Raw genomic sequence first — 10790 nt, forward strand, 5'->3', positions numbered from 1 at the left:
AGGACACTCAATGGACCAACAAAGAAAATCAGGAAGGTTCTGGAAAAACTTGTGTGTGTGTGTGTGTGTGTGTGTGTGTGTGTGTGTGTGTGTGTGTGTGCTGTTGGTGGTGATAGTGTGTAAGCAGGGCAGAAAGGGAAAGCAAGTAGATATAGCAAGAGAGAGAAAGAGAAAAGGCAATGCTTTAAGAGCCAGATGTGTAAGGGGTATGGTGTTTTCCCTATTTTATTTCAGGGATAAGAGTTTAAATCCGGGAGGAAAAGTCCTGTGCCACTAACATTGTCAACTTTTCCCGCCTCATCTTTTTTTCAGTTTCTAGGTCTTTTTTTACATCAATTCAGTGCAGCTAATTAAATTCAGGAGGAAAAACTCCTGTGCCATTAATATGGTCAACTTTTCCCACTTCATCTTTTTGCCAGCTTCTAGGTCTTCTTTTATATAAATTCAGTTCGGCTAAAGAAAAATGAAACTTACTTAAAGGCTCTTTCTCGCCTCACACATATGAGTAGACATACGTACATGTATGAAAGGCTGTGCATAGTTGCAGAAAATATCTAAAAGAGTGTGCAATTTGGATCTCAGCTGCCTGCAGTCATTTGCTGCGGAAGACATTGTGATACGCCCTGTGTGGTGGTCTCTGAGCCCACCCGCTTCCAGTTACCACCCTTTCTGTTGATGAGTGGCAGTTCTCAGCCTCTGAGCTCTGAATCCACACCCTTAGCAGACTCCAGACGGGTTCGATTTCAGTTCCCTGGCCTCCCTCTACAAAAGTGGTGCACTTGATGGACACATTGATAACAACGTAGTGAATAAAGTAGCAGAAAATTCATCTCTTCCATTTATCTCATGACGTGGACTTGAACTTCAGGAACATTGAAGCCGTGAGGATATCAACTAAATCTCAAAAAGGCAAAGTGAGCTTTCATGAGCGAGGGGATGTGAGGAAGCTTGCTTTTGCAGATGTGTATAGATGCGTCTGTTGATGTTCTTAATATCAAATTTGGTGCAAAAGTGATTGCGGTTTTTGTCATTGAAAGTAATGGCAAACACCTTCACATCCTTTGTAAGTTGGATTCCTAGGTATTTTATTCTCTTTGAAGCAATTGTGAATGGGAGTTCACTCATGATTTGGCTCTCTGTTTGTCTGTTATTAGTGTATAGGAATGCTTGTGATTTTTGCACATTGATTTTGTATCCTGAGACTTTGCTGAAGTTGCTTATCAGCTTAAGGAGATTTTGGGCTGAGACGATGGGGTTTTCTAAATATACAATCATGTCATCTGCAAACAGGGACATTTGACTTCCTCTTCTCCTAATTGAATGCCCTTTATTTCTTTCTCCTGCCTGATTGCCCTGGCCAGAACTTCCAACACTATGCTGAATAGGAGTGGTGAGAGAGAGCATCCCTGTCTTGTGCCAGTTTTCAAAGGGAATGCTTCCAGTTTTTGCTCATTCAGTATGATATTGGCTGTGGGTTTGTCATAAATAGCTCTTATTATTTTGATGTATGTCCTATCAATACCCAGTTTATTAAGAGTTTTTAGCATGAAGGACTTCTTCAAGGAGAACTGCAAACCACTGCTCAACGAAATAAAAGAGGACACAAACAAATGGAAGAACATTCCATGCTCATGGATAGGAAGAACCAATATCGTGAAAATGGCCATACTGCCCAAGGTAATTTATAGATTCAATGCCATTCCCATCAAGCTACCAATGACTGTCTTCACAGAATTGGAAAAAACTACTTTAAAGTTCATGTGGAACCAAAATAGAGCCTGCATTGCCAAGACAATCCTAAATCAAAAGAACAAAGCTGGAGGCATCATGCTACCTGACTTCAAACTATACTACAAGGCTACAGTAACCAAAACACCATGGTACTGGTACCAAAACAGAGATATAGACCAATGGAACAGAACAGAGCCCTCAGAAATAATACCACACATCTACAACCATCAGATCTTTGACAAACCTGAAAAACAAGCAATGGGGAAAGGATTCCCTATTTAATAAATGGTGCTGGGAAAACTGGCTAGCCATATGTAGAAAGCTGAAACTGGATCCCTTCCTTACACCTTACATAAAAATTAATTCAAGATGGATTAAAGACTTACATGTTAGACCTAAAACCATAAAAATCCTAGAAGAAAACCTAGCCAATACCATTCAGGACATAGGCATGGGCAAGGACTTCATGTCTAAAACACCAAAAGTAATGGCAACAAAAGCCAAAATTGACAAATGGGATCTAATTAAACTAAGGAGCTTCTGCACAGCAAAAAAAACCTACCATCAGAGTGAACAGGCAACCTACAGAATGGGAGAAAATTTTTGCAACCTACTCATCTGACAAAGGGCTAATATCCAGAATCTACAATGAACTCAAACAAATTTACAAGAAAAAAACAAACAACCCCATCAAAAAATGGGCAAAGGATATGAACAGACACTTCTCAAAAGAAGACATTTATGCAGCCAAAAAACACATGAAAAAATGCTCATCATCACTGGCCATCAGAGAAATGCAAATCAAAACCACAATGAGATACCATCTCACAGCAGTTAGAATGGCGATCATTAAAAAGTCAGGAAACAACAGGTGCTGAAGAGGATGTGGAGAAATAGGAACACTTTTACACTGTTGGTGGGACTGTAAACTAGTTCAACCATTGTGGAAGACAGTGTGGCGATTCCTCAAGGATCTAGAACTAGAAATACCATTTGACCCAGCCATCCCATTACTGGGTATATACCCAAAGGATTATAAATCATGCTGCTATAAAGACACATGCACACGTATGTTTATTGCGGCACTATTCACAATAGCAAAGACTTGGAGCCAACCCAAATGTCCATCAATGATAGACTGGATTAAGAAAATGTGGCACATATGCACCATGGAATACTATGCAGCCGTAAAAAAGCTGAGTTCATGTCCTTTGTAGGGACATGGATGAAGATGGAAATCATCATTCTGAGCAAACTATTGCAAGGACAGAAAAGCAAATACCACGTGTTCTCACTCATAGGTGGGAATTGAACAATGAGAACACTTGGACACAGGATGGGGAACGTCACACACCAGGGCCTGTCATGGAGTGGGGGGAGGGGGGAGGGATAGCATTAAGAGATATACCTAATGTAAATGACAAGTTAATGGGTGCAGCACACCAACATGGCACATGTATACATATGTAACAAACCTGCACGTTGTGCACATGTACACTAGAACTTAAAGTATAATTAAGAAAAAAAGAAAGTAATGGCAAAAACCACAATTACTTTTGTACCAACCTAATATCAAAGCTTGGGAAAATAAGCAGAATCTTAGCATCTCACCTTCTTTATGACCCATCTCACTCTTCTCCCATGGCCCATTTGCTCCTTGTGTGTGCTTCCTTAGTGATCAAAATTTCTTCTATTTTTCTGGTTAATATTGTGATCACCTGGGTAATTCTACATCACAATTTAGACTGCATTTGTCCAACATTAGGTATTTTAAATTTTCATTGAGGTGAAGTTAAATTTGTCTCAAAGAATCCAGCATGAACACTTCTATTTAGTTTCTGCAATACTGTTGTAACATTCTGTAATTTTTGGAATATTTCCTAAATTAAAAGGACAATCTGTTTAAAAATGCATTATTTTCTAGTTAGAGAGCTCTAAATCTTTTACTAATGCAGGTGGGTGTAGTGATAGCATCAGTTTCAAAATATTTCAAGAGTGTACCACTTAATATTGAGATCGATGTTAGAACATCACACAAAAGGGCTTATTTCATTAAATTATAATGTTAATTTAATAGTTTAAGCTTCAATACTAATTTTAGTATTGTGTTTTCTATTTCCGTGAAGAATGTCATTGGGATTTTGATATGGATTGTGTTAAACCTGTATATTGCTTTGGGTGGTATGGAAATTTTAATATTAATTCTTCTGATTCATGAGCTCTGCATAGCTTTTCATTTATTTGTGTCTTCTTCAATTTCTCTCATCAATGTTTTACAGTTTTTCAGCATACAAATCTTTCATTTTTGGGGTAAATTTATTCTTAGGTATTTTTAATACTATTATAAATGAGATTGTTTTCTAGAGTTTCTTTTAGTTATATCATCATTTGTGTATAAAAACACTACTGATTTTTGTAAGTTGATTTTGTATCCTGCAACTTTACTGAATTCACTTATCAGTTCTAATAGTTTTTTTTTGTGGAATCATATATATATGGATTTTTGGCCAGATTTTTGGCTTTTGATCTATTATAGTCTTTGTAAAGTGGCTTCTTATTGTTAAGAGAAGTGGTGCATTTTCCCATTTATTCCATAAACATTTTAAATATTTTTATGATATGTAAGACCTTATGCTAGATGCTAGGACTTCAGAGATGATAAGTGATTCCTGATCTCAGGAGGCTCACGGGTTGTAGCAGGGAGCAGTCAGGGTTATGAGACTCCACTGACTACAGGACAGGGCTCCAGCTGAGCCTGGAATTCTGGGGAGTTGAAGAGCTCCTCAGAGATGAAAACTCCAGACATGATTTCTGAGTGATGAGCAGGAATACTTCAGATTCTAGGGCTAGGAGTTTGCTTTAAGAAGATATAGAGGATGTTTTTAACCTGATAATGTACGCATTGGTTGTATGTGGTCAGGTCTTGCTATACCGTGTTTGGCAAAGGGTTAGAATTGGTAAGATCCATTTATTTGTAATTTATCTTTTACTTCTAAAAATTACTTGTCTTAAATGATGATCACGATATGTGTATGTATGTGTGTGCATGTGTGTGTTTATGTATGTATATGTCTGTGTGTATGTGTATGTGTGTGTATGTGTATGTTTATATGTGTGTGTGTTTATGTATGTGTGTGTATGGGTATGTTTATGTATGTGTGTGTGTCTGTGTTTATGTGTTTGTGTTTATATGTGTGTCTGTGTTTATGTGTGTGTGTGTGTGTGTGTGTGTGTGTGTATTTACACCCATTAGGAAAATTTAATGAAAACTAAACACCACGGAGAAGGTAGAAGGGAATTAAAATAAAAATTTATAGAAGTATAAAAGACGGAGATGTGGTTTTACTTCTATTTGCTTGATTAAAAAAACAAGAAAATTTGTCAGGAGAAGCAGACTTTTTCTTGGTACTAAATTTTAAAAGGAATGTATTATGTGGATCACTGTTTAAGAGACTTGGAGCAATTCTTCTCTGAATTATGGTTGTCGCCATGGGCTTTTAGCAATAGCAAGAGTGGAGATTTCAAGCTTGGCAAGATTTCTTTGGCAAATGCCTGGTGGGCAGAGCCTCTGCTGCTGATTGAAGGGACATCTTAATTTGTCAGACACCAGACACACAGGTAGCAAAGCTGATGTTTCTTTGTGAAGGATGAGGAACCCTAGCCGAATACTTTCTTGCTTTGGAAGCCCTTGTCATTCTAGTGTGGAACAGGGCTGGGGGACATTGACTTTGGATCTGCCTCTTTAGTTAAAACCCCACTGTTCCATGCCATAGATCATGGAAGAGATGACTTGGCCCTGGAAAATGTTAACGGTAAGCATTGCCAGTTGGCCAGCTTAATCATGAAAGAATCTCGCCATGATTCCTGCGGAACGTTTGATCCTGAGCACTGCTGCCTTCCTGTGCTGGGAATTAGCTACACAATGTGCCATCAAGTAACCCAACTAGCCACTGGGGTGGAGTTATTGAATTTCTTGAATTCAGACAATGAAGATGGTACAACCTAAAACCAGACTTTTGATCCTAGTATTGTTTTTGGTTAAGCTGTCCTTTTTGATGGTAGACATCAGGTCCATTTTTCTCTTAAAACCATTTTGTGTTTACCATAGTAAAATTATGTTTCTAATCCATCTAAAAGCTGCATGAAATTATTGAGATATGGAGGAAAAAGGCGGCTAGAAGAAGCCTCATCTCACACCACTGGGGGTTATAATTGGAACTGTGAGACAAAGCATTCCTGCCTTTTCAGATGGTTAGTGGTGTTATGGGCAGGTTTTGAAGGCCATCAGTAGCTGACAGTCCATACCAGGACACACGATTTGACCCATAGACAATTTCTGTCCATGAAATCAGATGCTTATAATAGATAGTTAACAAGAAGACTTAGTTTTTTGGCATTGCTGCTGGTGGTGGTGGTAGAAGGTGAAACAGAGGACATGCTGGCTGTGAGTGGAAGTACTATGCTTTAGTATTTTATGTGCAAGATAAAAACATTAACATACCTCCTTCTTGTAAAACTCTTCTGTTCACTAGGGGCTTTCACATACATACAGCAAAGATTTTGATTTTCACAGCAACCTTGTGAAGTACAGAGGGCAGTGAGATTATCTTTGCTTTACATATTATGAAACTGAGATGAAACTCTGAGAAGTTAATGAATAAATCATGATCACACAGAAAATAAGTAGGAAACTTGGGGTTTAGACTTGGATTTTCTGACTCCAAATCTAATGTTCTTTTTATGGTATCCAAACTGCAGTTCATTTCAAAGAAAGCTGATGTAGAGTTTGGATGAATTGAAAAGTAACAGATATTTTCTGTTAAAAAATATCCACCTAAATATTAAATGACAAATCATTATGCCATATTCAAATTCTAGAATTTGTTCAGATTGAACAAAAATGATGAATGTAATTAAAGTATCTTACTGAATAAAATCACTGTAATTAGATGTTGATCTATCTTGTGATGGAAGAAATATTTGTTAAGATGCACTTAAGTCCTTGGAAACAATGAAGAGCTGTAGAGATGAGTTCTAAAACTTCTGCTCAAATACAAAAGCTGGTCAGTTCTTTCTGCCCCAGCAAACATGGTACCCAGTGATTTGATCTCAGGCAACATGTGCACAGGGACTTGGTGGTCATAAACGATGTGGAAATAAGTTTCTGGTGACCTAGTAGGTTAGATTCTTTGTGCCCTTTATTCCAAGGGATGTCTAATGATATCACTGAAGTTCAACAACCAGCAAAACTGTGCCCCAAAGAGATTAAGTATGCTCTGCTCCTGAAGACATGTCGAGACACGCCTGTGCAGATGTGTGACGAGCTGAGAGAATAAAACCTCTGCCCCCTTACCAGAGGTTCCCCTTTTCTTCATGACTTCATTTGTATATCATCTGTGATCTCAACTGGTGTGAAAAGACCCAGGAACTTGGGTTGTTGTTGATTCCACTCTCAGGCTCACAGAAGAGCTTTCTCCCTGGCTCTTCTCTTCTCACCCTCCCTCCCCCTGCTGAGAAGAGCTGTCACTATTTCAGTAACTACAAGCAACAGATCGTTTTAGACTTTAATCCATAAATAAACATTTCTTCCTTTGAACTTCATTAAATTTGGATGTGCTTTCATTTTGACACAATCTGGCATCCCTATCATTTAGACATATAAAACTATAAAACTAGCAATTAATTTTGGTCTTTAGGAGTACTGGTGGTCTAGAAACAGTGAGTCTATGCCAAGAAAAGCAAATGAAAACCTCAAACATGTAGACATAACACTTAAATCATAAAATCACAAAGCATTATGCTCAGTAGCTACAGGAGATTATCTTTGAATTGTTCCTGGTGGTGTCTGTCACATTTCTCAGCTTGTTTAAAGAATTTTGAAGATGGGAATTCTGTTTCCTTAAACATTATTCATCTGACTACAATAATTGTCTGATGAAAACCTAAAAATTAAGTCATGATTTGATTGATTATGAAGATATTGATGGCATTTACCAGCAAATATCCTTTCATTAATTGCAAATATATTCAAGATCTGAGTGCTTATTGGATGCAAAGCACTGTGCTAGATACTGGAAGGAGGGGATGTCGTTTTTTTCTTTCAAAGAGCATATGAACTCATGAAGATGACACTTAACAAAAAGCAATTATCTCTTGACTCTAAAAGCCAGACACCTAGACACGGTGTGACTTCCAAAGCCAGGTCATAAAAGGCATCTCAGCTTTGGCCTTGGTGTTTTTTTGGATTCCTCACTCTGGAGTGGGAGGGGAAAGGAGGTAGCCAGCCAGCCTTCTGCTCAGAGAACTCTCCAGCAGCCCTCTGGGGAGGCCCACGTGGGAAGCACAGAGGCTCCTGCCAACAGCCAGCACTGACTTGCCAGCCAGCGGGGTGTGTGAGCTACCTCGGAAGCGGCTCCTCCAGCCCTAGTGGCGTCTCCAGGTCCCTGCGGCCCTGGCTGACATCTGTTGCAACCTCAAGAGTCACTGGGCCAGAACCACCACCAGACAAGCAGCTCCTGAGCTCCCGACACACAGACGCTGGGAGAGGTCATGAGTGATTATGTTTGTTCTCAGCAGCCCAGTTTGGGGGCGATTTGTTACACAATAGATAAGGAATACACTGACAACCCAGCATGTGTCAGATGCTGTGCTGGGGATTCAAGAGGATGAGGCAGATCGGCAACATCTGTGACCTCCCAGAACTTATAACTGATCAAGGAGGTAATCAGCTATGAATAAATACAATGAGGCCGTACATAAGATTTTGACCAATAGTTAAGCCTGGATATGAGACATTTCCAATGAGCTGCAGTTATAATCTACAGGAGTCGGGAGATGATGAAGATGACCACTTGACTTGGGGAGTTGGGAAGCATCCTCTGGGAGGAGAGAGGTCAAGTGGGCTTTGAAGGGGGTATATGATGTGGATGGGCGAAACACAAAAGGAAGGGTGTTCCCGAAAAGGAAGAAAAACAATCAAAGGCATCAAGGTGGGCATTGCCACCCCTGCTTGGGGTGTGGCAAGAGAATCTGTTGGGACACAATGACAGTGGGGCGTGAAAAAGCATCAGGTCATGAACTTGAAGACAGAGTTGGCTGCCTGCCTGAGGTCAGACTTGATCCCTAGGCAACAGAAATCATCAGAGATTTTTGAGTTGATTTGTGGCATTTTAAATAAGAATTTAAAATGGGTTTATGATTTCCATTAGTGTTTATTGACCACCTACTAACGAGTCTACCACTCTATGAGGTATTGAGGGGTGACCAAGTTAATAACAAGCTTCCCCTGCCCTCAGGGAATGTATAGTCACACTAGGGACAAAAAACATACACAAACGAACAACAGAGAGCATTATATCATAAAATAAGAAGGCAGCAGTTAGTCATTTAGATGATCAATGTAGTCGATAATAATAGCAAAGGCTTATATTGTGCTTGCTGGGTACCAAGGACTATTCCAAGTCTTTACATATGTTAATTCAATTAATACAGCACCTACATGAAGTAGGCTATCTCTGCGACTAGAGATGAGTAGGTTAGTATCTCTATCTTACAGATGAGGAAACAGGGACACAGAGAGTTTAAGTAACTGCAACAACCAGTCAGTAAATGAAAGGTGTAAACCCACACAGTCTGGCTCTGGAGGCTATGGTGATCCACCATGTTATGCTGCTTCTCAGATAATCGTTTAGACTTCCCAAGGCCTTGAATAAATCAACTCTTTTCATCCTCATTCACTTGCTTAATTTGTACTCAATATATTATTAATTGTTAGTTATGATCTAGCGTAAGGATGCAGACATAGCGTCAACATTGCTGAACTTTGGTTTCACTGCCTGGTGCTGATAAAATGCTACTGTAGGCCGGGCATGGTGGTTCATGCCTGTAATCCCAGCACTTTGGGAGGCTTAGGCAGGAGGATTCCTTGAGCTCAGGAGTTTTAGACCAGCCTGGGCAACACAGTGAGACCCTGTCTCTACAAAAAATTAAAAAATTAGCCAGGTGTGGTGGTGCATGTCTACAGTCCCAGGTACTCAGGAAGCTGATGTGAGAGGATTGCCTGAGCCCTGGAGGTCAAGGCTGCAATGAGCTATGGTTCTGCCACTGCACTCCAGCTTGGGTAACAGAGACCCTGCCTCAAAAAAAAAAAAAGAAAGAAAATGCTACTGTAATGGTTTTGAAATACACTAGAAATTGACTTAAGCAGGCTACCTATTTTAGTGACATATGGTACACCTATACTTCCATAATTAATGTTAACAAACACTGAGTATTGTGATGTTATTTATTGCATGATAACGTTCACAGCAGGTATAGAATTCACACGGTGCAGTGGAAGGAGCCCAGACCTGATGGGTTCTAGTCCCAGCTCTGTCACTCGTTGACTGTGCGAGCCTAGGAGTGCTGCCGTCCTTGCCCCAGCTTCTGCATGGCAAAGCTCCCCTTACCTGTTGTTCCCAGGCCCTAGATGAGTAAGACAGCAATGTGGAAGTCCCAAGAAAACCAAGACCCTTGGCTTGGAGCTTACTATAAGTTCCCTCTTTGGAGGCGTCAAAGGACAGTACATGTGAAAACAATGAGCTGAGTAAATATCAGCGACACATAAACCATTGGGTGTTATACAAGGGTAAGGTCATATTATTTTTATTTTTCTTGGTTGTATCTCACAACAATTCTCTGAAGAAGGCCCAAAGTTTCCAGAAGGAACTGGGAAAGTTCTGGAATACAACAGTAGGGCTTGTCTGGTGTTTTCTTTCCACCACCTTGTTTTGAAAGCAGAAGTACTGGAAATATTGCATAAAAACCCAGGCTGGCTGGATATCAAGACCTATTTCTAGACCAGAGTGGTTTGGATCAGGTTGAATAAGATTCTGAACGTTTGGATGTGGAGACAAAACCAAACTCAGCAAACTGAGAAATGGCAAACAAACCGAACATTTTCAAATTATGGAATGGTTTAGGGGCTACGGGCAAATGTCCATGGGTACCAAGGATGCAATTATCAAGCTTGTTTTTAGCCCATGTCCAAAGATTCAGTTTTTGTTTTCCATTGCTCTCCT

The sequence above is a fragment of the Homo sapiens genome, chromosome 10 (assembly GCF_000001405.40).
Source record: "Homo sapiens chromosome 10, GRCh38.p14 Primary Assembly".
NCBI classification, from domain to species: Eukaryota; Metazoa; Chordata; class Mammalia; order Primates; family Hominidae; genus Homo; species Homo sapiens.